The sequence below is a fragment of the Homo sapiens genome, chromosome 16 (assembly GCF_000001405.40).
Source record: "Homo sapiens chromosome 16, GRCh38.p14 Primary Assembly".
Taxonomy (NCBI): Eukaryota; Metazoa; Chordata; class Mammalia; order Primates; family Hominidae; genus Homo; species Homo sapiens.
Window position 1 is genome coordinate 29,407,717 of NC_000016.10, and position 15,759 is coordinate 29,423,475.

The following is a 15,759-nucleotide window of genomic DNA, read 5'->3' on the forward strand; positions in this document are numbered from 1 at the left end:
GTAAATACATTTTTTATTATCAAAAAAGAGCAGTGTATGGTTGGCATATTCTGTGTAGAATGTATTTTATTGATGTCTCCTATTTTTATAATTTGCGAGTTAAGTACTTTTTAATTAATGCTTTTTAGTTTTGGGCAGATTCAGTTGACTAAAGCACCTCATTTCCCCGATACATGAAATAAAATATTTGGCTTCTTTTCCAATTTCACACTGATGTTATTTTGTGAAAATCAGTGCTTTAAGATAAATCTTTATACGTTAAGGTAAACATGAGAAACTTGATCTAATATTTAATATTTATTCAGTTCTACACTTTATTAACTTGTACACCAGCAGATTTAAACATTATGTAACTATCTCAAGAAGTTTCACTTGGATGTAATGCTTCACGCTTGTAATCCCAGCACTTTAGGAGGCTGAGGTGGGAGGACTGCTTAAGGCAAGGAGTCTGAGACCAGTCTGGGCAATACAGCAAGATCCCATCTCTATTTTAAAGAAAAGTTTCACTTTGGGAGGCCAAGGCGGGTGGATCACAAGGTCAGGAGATCGAGACCATCCTGGCTAACATAGTAAAACCCCATCTCTACTAAAAATATAAAAAATTAGCCAGGCGTGGTGGTGGGCGCCTGTAGTCCCAACTACTCGGGAGGCTGAGGCAGAAGAATGGCGTGAACCCAGGAGGCAGAGCTTGCAGTGAGCTGAGATTGCGCCACTGCACTCCAGCCTGGGCGACAGAGTGACACTCCGTCTCAAAAAAAAAAAAAAAAAAGTTTCAGCAAATTCCATCTAAGAATTCCACCACAGTTCTGTTGTCTCCAATGTCATCTTCCACAGATTTCAAGTTGTGAAGCCCTGAACTGTTAATTTATCTTGAGAATGTATATTTAAGCTTAATTTAAGACTATATACCTAAAAATTGAGCATATAATTTCTATAATTTATTTATGTAAGTTTCTGTAAGTCATAAGTATGTGGTTTCCAAGGGTATAATTTATCTGAATGTAATAGGCATTAATATATTTTACATTATTGGGACCATAGTACAGAAATTTCTAAATGGTTTGTAAAATAACTTGTTATTTGTGTTGTTGTAAAAGCAGTTAATACAATGGAAAAACTTGTAAGAAGAAGATACAGTTTAACATCAAAAAGTTTACCCAAGGTAATTATGAGTACTACACCTGGCAAAACTTCACAGAAGCTGTGGTATCACTTTTACGATGGAAGAATAGTGTTTGCATTTTGTGTAAAAGTACTTGCGGCTGGGCGTGGTGGCTCATGTCCCAGTGCTTTGGGAGGCGAAGGCCGGTGGATCATCTGAGCCCAGGAGTTTGAGACCAGCCTAGGCAATGTGGCAAGAGCCTGTCTCTCCAAAACCTACAACAATTAGCCAAGCATGGTGGTGTGAGCCTGTAGTCCCAGCTACTTGGGAGACTCACGCTGGAGGATCTCTCGAGCCCAGGAGGCAGAAGATGAATAAATAAATGGATGCAACTGAATGGGATGAGGTCTCTCTTGAAGGAGAGAGCAAAAGAGATTTAAATAGTAACAATTATAATAAGGCTGGGCGCGGTAGCTCACGCTTGTAATCCCAGAACTTTGGGAGGCCAAGGCAGGTGGATCGGTTGAGGTCAGGAGTTCAAGACCAGCATGGCCAACACGGTGAAACCCTGTCTCTATTAAAAATACAAAATTAGCCGGACATGGTAGTGCGTGCCTGTGGTCTCGGCTACTCAGGTGGCTGAGACAGGAGAATCGCTTGAACCTGGGAGGCACAGGTTGTAGTGAGCCGATAAATATAAAAAGTATTAGAGTACTAACAGAGGAAAGTTTCCACTGATCACCTTTTAGCTTTAAATAATACAGAAGCATTTGCCCAGTTTACCTGTAATTAAAAATCATGCATCATTCACGATTTATATCTTTTTTGTTTGTACAAAAATGAATACAAGTTATTCTCTTTTATCTGTATTGTGATTGGTTTGGTGAGAGGGAATTAGGCCACTTGAGAGTTTGTGTGTGTTTAAAATTTTCTGGCCAGGCGCGGTGGCTCATGCCTGTAATCCCAGCACTTTGGGAGGCCAAGGCAGGCGGATCACTTGAGCTCAGGAGTTCGAGACCAAATTGGGCAACATGGTGAAACCCTATCTCTACAAAAAATACAAGAATTAGCTGAGTGCCATGGCTTGCGCCTGTCCTCCCAGTTCCTTGGGGGGCTGAGGCAGTAGGATCGCTCAAGCCCAGGAGGTGGAGGTTGCAGTGAGCCGAGATCATGCCACTGCACTCCAGGAAGGGCAACAGAGCAAGACTCTGTCTAAAAAAAAAAAAAAAGAAAGAAAAGAAAATTAACTTTGGTATTTCAGGTTGTATTTAAATGGGGACTTAACATGAACTATGTTCATAACAGTTGACCAAATTAAGTGTAGATCGTCTCTTTAATAAAGAGATCATCTGGAACTGCAATTTCTAACTCATACATCATTGCTAGAAACCTTATTTGTTTACTGTTTCTCTTCCAAGGACCATCAGTCATCCTTTAAAATTCATTTGAAGCTCTGAAAAGATATTTTTTGTTACATGGGCAATTTACTTTTAGTACAGTAAAATGTTATGTGAATTTCTACAGCATGTTTGCCAAAATGAATTGTATCTAGAATACGCTTAATATATTCTGGAGGCAGCTTTCATTTGAAATTAGGTTCATCTTCTGAGAGTATGAAAAAGTTAATGGGTTTTTGTGCCTGAAGATTTTGATGTTGCATTTGGCTACATTTAATCCACTTTCACCCATAAGTTTTAGCATCTAAAAAAATGAAATCACTGCTAATGCAATTAAAATGCATTATGAAATGCATTTCTGTCCAGGCTGGAGTGCAGTGGCACAATCTCGGCTCACTGCAAGCTCCGCCTCCCTGGTTCACACCATTCTCCTGCCTCAGCCTCCCTAGTAGCTGAGACTACATGTGCCCGCCACCACGCCCGGCTAATTTTTTTTTTTTTTTTTAATGAGGCGGAGTCTCGCTCTGTTGACCAGGCTGGAGTGCAATGGCATGATCCTGGCTCACTGCAACCTCTGCTTCCTGGGTTCAAGTGATTCTCCTGCCTTGCTGGGATGACAGACGTGCACCACAATGTCCGGCTAATTTTGTATGTTTAGTAGAGACATGGCTTCACCATACTGGCCAGGCTGGTCTTGAACTTCTGACCTCAGGTGATCCCACCTTGGCCTCCCAAAGTGCTGGGATTACAGGCATGAGCCACTGTGCCCAGCTTAAGATCTCTGTTTTAATGTTAATGCTGGTCAGTTGTGTCTGGATTCCAGAGGGAGGAAGGTAGAATGAGGCATGTTGACACCTCCCCTTCCCATCATGACCTAAGCTGGTCTTTTCAGTTTACTTTTGAATGTCCTTGCTCAACAGGAAGGGTCCATTCAGTCGGATTGGGTGGCTTAGAATTTTATTTTTGGTTTACATCTCAACTGTCACAGCAGCCGGGCGCGGTGGCTTCACACCTGTAATCCCAGCACATTGGGAGGCTGAGGCAGGGGTATCACCTGAGGTCAGGAGTTCTAGACCAGCCTGACCAACATGGAGAAACCCCCGTCTCTACTAAAAATACAAAATTACCCGGGCGTGGTGGTACATGCCTGTAATCCCAGCTACTCGGGAGGCTGAGGCAGGAGAATCGCTTGAACCTCGGAGGTGGAGGTTGTGGTGAGCTGAGATCGTGCCACTGCACTCCAGCCTGGGCAACAAGAGCGAAAATCTGTCTCAAATAAATAAATAAATAAATAAACTATCACAGCATAAAGTAGGAGGAATATTTCGTTACTGTCTATTTAAACTGGTTAATGCAGAAAGGAAGTCTGGAAATTCCAGTTTTAAAGTAAAATTTTGGACATTGTAGGATTGATTATTTGGCATAGTTGTGATGTTTGTTCCTGCATTATGGTTTTGTTGGCAGGGCAGCCTTTAAGGACCTGTATATTTTCTTCTAGACTCTATATATTCCCTGTGAGTATTAGTTGTATGGTCAAACTGGCAAATTTTACCATAGGTATAAATAATAGAGAATGTGGAAGAATAGTGAATAGTGTCAGAGATAGTTAAAAGTCCATACAATAGTAGAGAAGGTAATAAGTAATAGTGGCTTGGACTAAATATTTGTTGAATAAATGTTTTAAAAAACAGGCTACCTACAATTTGTGTTGAAGATATGAATGAATGAAGTTTCCACACCCTTATGTGGAGTCCTGATAAGTAAGCAACAATAAGGAAGGGTCCCCAGGTTGGGGAGAGCCCCAAGTTGAGAACAATAATGAACAATTACTGTATGAACAATTGTTAGAGACAGCTAATCACAAACAACCTGCGGGCACAATGACCTCATTCCACACGTAGCACCCTTCAGCAGGACCCTATAAAACTTTCCTCCAGCCCCTGCCTCTTTGCAGGTAGCCCCTTCTCTGCTGAGCTGCCCACTGCAACATATTTTCATAATTTCTCTAATAAATCTGCCCTTCTTTACCTACAACTATCTTGGTAAATGGCTTTACCACCTGCAAAACTGACCCTAGGTTGTTGCTACCCGATATGGTTTGGCTGCGTCCCCACCCAAATTTCATCTTGAATTGTAGTTCCCATAATCCCCATGTGTCGTGGGAGGGACCTGGTAGGAGGTAATCAAATCATGGGAGCAGGTTTTTCCCATACTGTTCTCGTGATAGTGAATACATCTCACTAAATCTGATGGTTTTATAAAGGGCAGTTTCCCTGCACGTGCTCTCTTGCCTGCTGCCATGGAAGACATACCTTTTTGCTCCTTCTTTGCCTTCCACCATGATTCTGAGGCCTCTCCAGCCTTGTGGAACTGTGAGTACATTAAACCTCTTTTTCTTTATAAATTACCCAGTTTCGAGTATTTCTTCATAGCAGTATGAAAAGTAACTAATACACTACCCGAGACACCTTAGGAGATTTGTAATAGCTGTAATGCCAGGTCCACCATATTTTTAGCATAAAGCAAATGTTCATGCATGATATGACTGCACAGGCTTTCTTTCAGCTGGAGCCATAGCAACTCAAGTAGTAACCCTATCTTAGTCTGATTAAAAGTAAATATTAGTCTGGGCATGGTGGGACATGCCTGTAATCCCAGTACTTTGGGAGGCTGAGACAGAAGGATTGCTTGAGCCCAGGAGTTTGAGACCAGCCTGGGCAACATGGAAAAACACCGTCTCTACAAAAAATACAAAAATTAGCTGAGCGTGGTGGCACACACCTGTAGTCCCAGCACCTTGGGAGGGTGAGGCAGGAGGATCTCTTGAACCCAGGAGGTGGAAGCCGCAGTGGGCAGTGATCATGTCAGAGGTGTGTGAACCAGAGCAACTCCATCTTAAATAGGAGCCGGGAAAAGTGAGGCTGAAACTACTGGGCTGCATTCCCTGATGGTTAAGGCATTCTAAGTCACAGGATGACATAGAAGGTCAGCACAAAATACCAGTCATAAAGACCTTGCTGATAAAACAGGTTGCAGTGAAGGAGCTGGCCAAAACCCACCAAAACCAAAATGGAGACAAGACTGACCTCCCATCATCCTCCCTGCTACACTCCTACCAGCACCATGACAGTTTACAAATGCCACGGCAACATCAAGAAGTTACCCTATATGGTCTAAAAAGAGGAGGCATGAAAAATCCACTCCTTGTTTAGCATATCATCAAGAAATAACCATAAAAATGGGCAACCAGCAGCCCTCACGGCTGCTCTGTCTATGGGGTAGCCATTCTTTTATTCCTTTACTTTCTCTCTTTTTTTTTTGAGATGGAGTCTCCCTCTGTCACCCAGGCTGGAGTGCAGTGGGGCGATCTCGGCTTACTGCAAGCTTCGCCTCCCGGGTTCATCCCATTCTCCTGCCTCAGCCTCCAGAGTAGGTGGGACTACAGGCGCCCGCCACCACACTTGGCTAATTTTTTTGTATTTTTAGTAGAGATGAGGTTTCACCGTGTTAACCAGGATGGTCTTGATCTCCTGACCTCGTGATCCACCTGTCTCAGCCTCCCAAAGTGCTGGGATTACAGGAGTGAGCCACCGTGCCCCTCCTCCTTTACTTTATTAATAAACTTGCTTTCACTTCACACTGTGGCATCACCCTAAATTCTTTCTTGCACAAGATCCAAGAACCCTCTCTTGGGGTCTAGATTGGGACCCCTTTCCTGTAACTATCATGCTACTGCACTCCAGCCTGGGCAACAGAGCAAGGCCCTGTCTCAAAAAAAAAAAAAAAAAAAAAAAAAGGAACATGACTTAATACATTCATTTTGGAGGGTAAGTCTCTCAAAATAGGCCTTTCACTGGGGGAAAATGGTAAAAATACTCCCTGGTAATTCAAGAATTGGAGACTCCTGAGATGCTGCTCATATTAGCTGAACACTTATCAATACTTCACTTTTTTCCATATATACTCAAGGAACAAGTGCTATTTAAAGTGTTTCACTCCACTGTGCTAGGTGCAAGACTATAAAGAGGTGAGGATCAACACTTTTATGAAAACCAGTGTCATTCTGGATATAGTTTCAGATGCTAGTGCAAAGGAAGCTCTTGGTATACGGAAAAAGTATTCAACAATAAATTAGGCATGGTTGCTTCCATTTTCTGCCTCACATACTTTTTTTTTCGTGGTTAAAGTGATATAATGTCTATGATATTTTAGATTGGCAGTTGCAAACTAGTGGTCCTCAGCGTGCTTTTTATGACACCTACAAGGTTTGAAGACTTTGATTTCATATTAAAAATCTGGGTTTCAGGCTGGGTGTGGTGTTGCATGCCTGTAATCCCAGCACTTTGGGAGGCTGAGGCAGGAGAATCGCTTGAACCAGGGAGGTGGAGGTTGCAGTGAGCCAAGATCGGGCCACTGCACTCAAGCTTAGGCAATAGAGCAAGACTCCATCTCAAAAAATGAATAAATAAGTAAATAAAATCTGGGTTTCAGGCCAGGTGTGGTGGTGCATTCCTGCAATCCCAGCACTTTGGGAGGCTGAGATGGGCAGACAGCTTGACCTCAGGAATTCCAGACTAGCCTGGGCAACATGGCGAAACCCCATGTCTACAAATAATACAAAAAAATTAGCTGGGTGTAGTGGAGTGTGCCTGTAATCCCAGCAACGTGGGAGGCTGAAGTGAGAGGATTGCTTGAGCCTGGGAGGTTGATGTTACAGTGAGCTGAGATCGCCCTCCTACACTCCAACCTGGGCAACAGAGCCAGACCTTGTCTTAAAAAAAAAAAAAAAAAAAAAATTCTGGGTTTCTGGCATCTCAAAAAAAAAAAAAAAAAAGGAAAGGTCAGGGCACATGGCTGCTACAGTCCTCTATTAGCAATGTGCCACAGCAGGGGTCCCTGACCCCTGGGCCATGGACATGTACTGGTCTGTGGCCTGTTAGGAACTGGGCCACAGAGCAGGAGGTGAATGGTGGGTAACAATTGAAGCTTCGTCTGTATTTCTGGCTGCTCCCCATTGCTTGCATTGCTGCCTGAGCTCTGCCTCCTGTCAGATCAGCAGCATCATTAGATTCTTACAGGAGCATGAACCCTGTTGTGAATTGCACACACGAGGGATCCAGGTTGCATATTCCTTATGAGAATCTAATTCCTGATGATTTGTGGTGGAACAGTTTCATCCCAAGACCATTACCATCCTGCGCCCCATCCCTTGCCGCCTGTGGAAAAATTGTCTTCCACAAAGCCGGTCCCTGGTGCCAAAAATGTTGGGGACTGCTGTGCTTTAGAATCTGCCATGAATCTGCAGCCTCTATTATATAGCTCCCTATAGACTTTGCTTCCTACCGTCTTACGTTCTGCCTTATAGGCATTTGAGTTTGCAGCCCTTGTTTTTGTTAGTATGTTATGCTGGTGACATTGACCAAATTGACCACACATTAATGATAAGCTTAGTTGGTGATGACCTCAACGGAATAACGTGACATAAGTATTGTGACAATACTTCTTGCATGTATCTGCAGGTGGAATTGTAAACCTGGTGGTCCGAGATGGTCTAATTCCATCTTCCTATGTATCTCCTTATATTAATAGTGGTAACATTTGTGATGGTGATTCAGCATTTCAATGCCTCTTCTCATGGCAACAACAAACGTTTTCCTTCTGAATCAACATTAACCTAGATGTTACTGTGGATCAAAATTAGACTCTACATTTTCAACCACAGAAATACTGGGCAGTAAAAATTTTTCTTAATATTGATTGTCTACATAGGTTGTGTAATTAGCATGTGTTTACAGTTCTATGATTTCTGCGTGGCTGCTACAGAGCTGGAGGGGGTAAAGCAACAGTGTTTTCTCAGTTGTGCGAGCAGCATTACATTATAATAAATAGGTAATATTAAACTGGGCTGATGAGAGTTGCAAAAGACTACTTTAATGTTCATATGGAACCAAAAAAGAGCCCACATTGCCAAGACAATCCTAAGCCCAATGAACAAAGCTGGAGGCATCATGCTACCTGACTTCAAACTATACTACAAGGCTACAGTAACCAAAACAGCCTGGTACTGCTACCGAAACAGACATATAGACCAATGGAACAGAACAGAGCCCTCAGAAATAATACCACACATCTACAACCATCTGATCTTTGACAAACCTGACAAAAACAAGAAATGCAGAAAGGATTCCCTACTTAATAAATAGTGCTGGGAAAACTGGCTAGCCCTATGTAGAAAGCTGAAACTGGATCCCTTCCTTACACCTTATACAAAAATTAATTCAAGATGGATTAAAGACTTAAATGTTAGACCTAAAGCCGTAAAAACCCTAGAAGAAAACCTAGGCAATACTATTCAGGACATAGGGATGGGCAAGGACTTCATGTCTAAAACACCAAAAGCAATGGCAACAGAAGCCAAAACTGACAAATGGGTTCTAATTAAACTAAAGAGCTTCTGCACAGCAAAAGAAACTAGGATCAGTGTGAACAGGCAACCTACAGAATGGGAGAAAATTTTTGCCATCTACTTGTCTGACAAAAGGCTAATATCCAGAATCTACAAAGACCACCAACAAATTTACAAGAAAAAAAACAAACCCCATCAAAAAGTGGGCAAAGCATATGAACAGACACTTCTCAAAAGAAGACATTTATGCAGCCAACAGACACATGAAAAAATGCTCATCATCACTGGCCATCAGAGAAATGCAAATCAAAACCACAATGAGATATCATCTCACACCAGTTAGAATGGCGATCATTAAAAAGTCAGGAAACAACAGGTGCTGGAGAGGATGTGGAGAAATAGGAACACTTTTACACGGTTGGTGGGACTGTAAACTGGTTCAACCATTGTGGAAAACAGTGTGGCGATTCCTCAGGGATCTAGAACTAGAAATACCATTTGACCCAGCCATCCCATTACTGGATACATACCCAAAGCATTATAAATCATGCTGCTATAAAGACACATGCACACATATGTTTATCGCGGCAATATTCACGATAGCGAAGACTTGGAACCAACACAAATGTCCATCAATGATAGACTGGATTAAGAAAATGTGGCACAGATACACCATGGAGTACTATGCAGCCATAAAAAAGGATGAGTTCATGTCCTTTGTAGAGACATGGATGAAGCTGGAAACGATCACTCTCAGCAAACTATCACAAGGACAAAAAACCAAACACCGCATGTTCTCACTCACAGATGGGAACTGAACAATGAGAACACTTGGACACAGGAAGGGGAACATCACACACTGGGGCCTCTTGTGTGGTGGGGGAGGGGGAAGGGATAGCAGTAGGAGATACACCTAATGTAAATGACGAGTTAATGGGTGCAGTACACCAACATGGCACATGTATACATATGTAACAAACCTGCACATTGTGTACATGTACCCTATAACTTAAAGTATAATTTTAAAAAATAAGTAAATAAATAAATAAAAAAAGAAACAATTGCTGGCTTTGCAATTCTCTTTCCTCCAAAATCGCCAAGGCCTCAATTTACTCATTGCTGAAAAAGGACGACTCTGTATATTTTTAAATGAAGAGTGTTGTTTTTACCTAAATCACTCTGGCCTGGTATATGACAACATAAAAAAACTCAAGGATAGAGTCCAAAAACTTGCCAACCAAGCAAATAATTATGCTGAACCCCCTTGGGCACTCTCTTAATTGGATGTCCTGGGTCCTCCCAATTCTTAGTCCTTTAATACCTGTTTTTCTCCTTCTCTTATTCGGACCGTGTGTCTTCTGTTTAGTTTCTCAATTCATACAAAACCGTATCCAGGCCATCACCAATAATTCTATATGACAAATGCTCCTTCTAACAACCCCACAGTATCAGCCCTTACCCCAAAATCTTTCTTCAGTTGAATCTCTCCCACTGTAGGTTCCCAGGCCGCCCCTAATCCCGCTCGAAGCAGCCCTGAGAAACATCGCCCATTATCTCTCCACATCACCCCCAAAAATTTTCGCCACCCCAACACTTTACCACTATTTTGTTTTATTTTTCTTATTAACATAAGAAGACAGGAATGTCAGGCCTCTGAGTCCAAGCTAAGCCATCATATCCCAGTGACCTGCACGTATACATCCAGATGGCCTGAAGCAACTGAAGATCCACAGAAGTGAAAACAGCCTTAACTGAAGACATTCCACCATTGTCATTTGTTTCTGCCCCACCCTAACTGATCAATGTACTTTGTAATCTGCCCCACTCTTAAGAAGGTTCTTTATCATCTCCCCCACCCTTAAGAAGTTTCTTTGCAATTCTCCTCACCCTTGACAATGTACTTTATGAGATCCACCTCCTGCCCCCAAAACACTGCTCTTAACTCCACCGCCTATCCCAAAACCTATAAGAACCAGTGATAATCACACCACCCTTTGCTGACTCCTTTTTTGGACTCAGCCCGCCTGTACCCAGGTGAAATAAACAGCCATGTTGCTCACACAAAGCATGTTTGGTGGTCTCTTCACACAGACACGTGAGACGGGAGTTCGAGACCGGCCTGGCCAATCTGGTGAAACTCTATGTCTCTACTAAAAATACAAAAATTAGCTGGGCATGGTGGCGGGCACCTGTAATCCCAGCTACTCGGGAAGCTGAGGCACAAAAATTGCTTGAACCCAGGAGGCAGAGTTTGCAGTGAGCCAAGATCACACTGTCAGGCCTCTGAGCCCAAGCCAAGCCATTGCATCCCCTGTGACTTGCACGTATACATCCAGATGGCCTGAAGTAACTGAAGATCCACACAAGAAGTAAAAATAGCCTTAACTGATGACATTCCACCATTGTGATTTGTTTCTGCCCCACCCTAACTCTTCAATGTACTTTGTAATCTCCCCCACCCTTAAGAAGGTACTTTGTAATCTCCCCAACCCTTAAGAAGGTTCTTTGTAATTCTCCCCACCCTTGAGAATGTACTTTGTGAGATCCACCCCTGCCTGCAAACATGGCTCTTCACCCCCTATCCCAAAACCTGTAAGAACTAATGATAATCCACCACCCTTTGCTGACTCTCTTTTCGGACTCAGCCCGCCTGCACCCAGGTGAAATAAACAGCCATGTTGCTCACACAAAGCCTATTTGGTGGTCTCTTCACACGGACGCGCATGAAACACACGACTGCACTTCAGGCTGGGCGACAGAGCTAGATTCCATCTCAAAAAAAATAAAATAAAAAGGAGTCACCTCCCCCGAGAGGCCTCTGGACCACCCCATCTGAGCAGGCCACTCTTCCTTCTCTATCTTACCATCTTGTTTCTGTCCCAGTAGTTAGGGCTACCTCCAGTAATCCTATTTGTCCCTTTACTGTTTAGTGTGTCTCGCTTGACTAGAAGCTCCATGAAAGCAGAGACCCTACCTGCCTCCTTCGCCACTAGACCCCCAGGGCCTGGTATGTGGTGATCGCTCAGGGCCCATTTTCTTCCTTTCCTCCTCCTCCAAGGGTGGGGAAAGAGCATCAGAAGGTCTAGGTGGCCCCAGGCCCAAACAATGCTCCTTTAAAAGGAAACCAGATTGTTACAAAGGTCAGAGGCTGAAAAGTTATTTCCGCCTTTTATCCCTCTAAATTCTTCACTTCCTGAAAAAACAAACAAACAAAAAAAGCCACTGAGGGCCCTTGGACTAAATCCAGGCCTGAGTTGCTGGGCAGAGGTCAGTCTTGTCCAGACATGGGAAAAAAATAACTCGAGTCAGACAGGTGGGTCACCACAGAACGAATCCAGCCTGCAAATGGCCTGTGCAATCTTCAGCTCTGTCCAGACCTGCCTCCCTCTGGGGATGCCTTTAAAGGTGATGAATGATCTGGATGAATGGGCTTAGAGGATAAGAGGGAAAAACAAATATCACAGGTCAAATCGTTATTTGTCTTCAAGTTTAACACCGTCTACTGGACTAAAAGATGTCCAAAGAATAGTTGTTCAACTATGTAAATTCCTTTTTTTTTTTTTTTTTTTTTTGAGACAGAGTCTCGCTCTGTTGCCCAGGCTGGAGTGCAATGGTATGATCTTGGCTCACTGTAAGCAACCTCTGCTCCTGGGCTCAAACCATTCTCCTGCCTCAGCTTCCCAAGTAGCTGGGACTACAGGCATGTGCCTCCACGCTCAGCTAATTTTAGTATTGTTAGGAGAGACAGGGTTTCACCATGTTGACCAGGCTGGTCTCGAACTCCTCACCTCAGGTGATCCACCTGCCTCAGCATCCCAGAGTGCTGGGATTACAGGCATGAGCCACAGTGCCCGGCCAACTACATAAATTCCTAACAACGTATCTCCAGAAAGTATAGGCACAACAGCACATGCAGTCATTCCTGTAATTAAGTGCTCCGGGAGGCCAAGGCAAGAAGATCCCTTGAGCCCAGGAGTTTGAGACCAGCCTGGACAACATAGCAAGACTGTGTCTCTACAAAATATACAAAAATTGGGCTGGGGATGATGGCTCACGCCTGTAGGCCCAGCACTTTGGGAGACCAAGGCAGGAAGATCGATTGAACTCAGGAGCTCGGGACCAGCCTGGACAACGTAACGAGACCCAGTCTCTACTAAAACTCAAGAAAATTAGCCAGACGTGGTTGCATGTGCCTGTAGTCCCAGCACTTTGGGAGGCCAAGGTGGGTGGATCACCTGAGGTCAGGAGGTCGAGACCAGCCTGGCCAACATGATGAAGTCTCGTCCCTACTAAAAATACAAAAATTAGCCAGGAACGGTGGCACACACCTGTAGTCCCAGCTACTTGGGAGGCTGAGGCAGGAGAATGGATTGAACCCAGGAGGCAGAGGTTGCAGTGAGCCGAGATGGCACCATTGCACTCCAGCCTGGGCAACAGAACAAGACTCCATCAAAAAAAAAAAAAAAGAAAAGAAAGAAAGAAGAAAATTAGCCAGGTGTGGTTGCATGCACCTGTAGTCCCAGCACTTTGGGAGGCCAAGGCAGGAGGATCAATCAAGGCTAGGAGTTTGAGACTGCAGAAGGAAACCCTGTCTCTAAAAACAAGGTCCAGCTAAAATCAGGGTCCAGCTCCACCACAAGCGCAGCTCCAGGGGCTGTTGAGTTTTGCCTCTACCATTCCAAGTAGTCTCTGCTCCAGACCAAGTCCCACCATCTGGCAGTCATGTCAGTCCAACCACAGTCATATCAGGGCACTTCCAGGTTCTTTCATTGAGTGCCCCTTGAGGAGGCTGGAGGAGAGGCCAATGACATTTGCACTTGAGACTCCAGAGTCTAGATTTATAACCACTATGTTACGGCTGCCAGAGTGGCTGCAAGGACACTTCTTTCATTCATTCATTTACAATACATGTAGCATCTGCTGTGTGCCAGATGCCATTCTAGGTTCTAGGGAAACAAGGCAGAGCCCCTGTTTTCCAGGGCATCCACATTCTAGGAAAGACTGCTACCAGCCTGGCGTGGTGGCTCATGCCTGTAATCCCAGTACTTTGGGAGGCCGAGGTGGGCGGATCACTTGATGTCAGGAGTTCAAGACCAGCCAACATAGTGAAACCCCGTTTCTACTAAAAGTACAAAAATCAGCTGGGCATGGTGGCACGTGCCTGTAGTCCCAGCTACTCAGGAAGCTAAGGCAGGAGAATCGCTTGAACCTGGGAGGCAGAGGTTGTGGTGAGCCGAGATCATGCTACTGCACTCCAGCCTGGGCAACAGAGTGAGACTACATCAAAAAAAAAAAATAGTAATAAAATAAAGACTGCTACTAAACAATAAAATAACCAAACCAGATAGATGACTTCAGGTGGTGGTAAGAGCTTTGAAAGAATAAGCAAGGTAACTAACTGGTCAGAGGAAGGGAGATGGGTGCATTCCCTCAGATAGACCGCCCCAGAGGTCTGCCTCTCTGACATGACATTTGAGCAGAGACCCAACAGGAAAAGGAAGAGACTGCTCTATGGCCAGGCACGGTGGCTCACACCTGTAATCCCAGCACTTTGGGAGGCCCAGGCGGGCGGATCACGAGGTCAGGAGATCGAGACCATCCTGGCTAAGACGGTGAAACCCTGTCTCTACTAAAAATACAAAAAAATTAGCCGGGCTTGGTGGATGCCTGTAGTCCCAGCTACTCGGGAGGCTGAGGCAGGAGAATGGCGTGAACCTAGGAGACGGAGCTTGCAGTGAGCCGAGATCACGCCACTGCACTTCAGCCTGGGCGACAGAGTGAGACTCCATCTCAAAGAAAAAAAAAAAAAAAGAACAAAGAGGAGTCCAGGCGAAGAGAACAGCAGATGCAAAGGCCCTGAGGCAGAAACAATCTTGGTATGCTGGAGGAATAGGAAGGCAGCCAGTGCAGCTGGAGCAGGATAGGTTAAGAGAGGATCAAAGTGATGAGGGCCTGGAAAGAGGGGCTGGGGTCGAATCAACAGATCCTGTTGGTTGCAATGGAAGAGCCTGGAGTTTATTCTCAGAGCAGTGAGAAGCCACTGGAAAGTTGTTTTTTGTTTTTCTGTTTTTGAGACAGAGTCTAGCTCTGTCACCCAGGCAGACTGCAGTGGTGCAATCTCGGCTCACTGTAACCTCTGCCTCCCAGGTTCAAGCGATTCTCCTGCCTCAGGCTCCCCAGTAGCTGGGATTACGGGCACATGCCACCACACCCATCTAATTTTTTTTTTTTTTTTTTTTTTTGAGACAGAGTCTCTGTCACCCAGGCTGGAGTGCAGTGGCGCAATCTCAGCTCACTGCAACCTCCACCTCCCTGGTTCAAGCAATTCTCCTGCCTCAGCCTCCCGAGTAGCTGGGACTACAGGTGCATGCCATCATACCTGGCTAATTTTTTGTGTTTTTAGTAGAGACAGGATTTCACCACGTTAGCCAGGATGGTCTCGATTTCCTGACCTTGTGATCTGCCCACCACGGCCTCCCAAAGTGCTGGGATTACAGGCGTGAGCCACCGTGCCTGGCCAGCCACCGGAAAGTTTTATGTAAGCAGGGGAGTGATCTGTTTTATCATTTAGAAGGATACACACCTCTTCTTCTTTTTTTAGAGACAGGGTCTAGTTCTGTCACCCAGGCTGGAGCCCAGTGGCACAATCATAGCTTACTGTAACCTCAAACTCCTGGGCTCAAGTGATCCTCCTGCCTCAGCATCCCAAACTGCTGGATTACAGGCATGAGTCAAACACGCCTGGTCACACTTCTCATCCAGACCTCATTTGTCCACCTCCCCCATCCCCCGCCCCACCCCACGGTCTGTCCTATAACGCCCACACAACAGGTCACTGTTTAGAAAGTGCTACA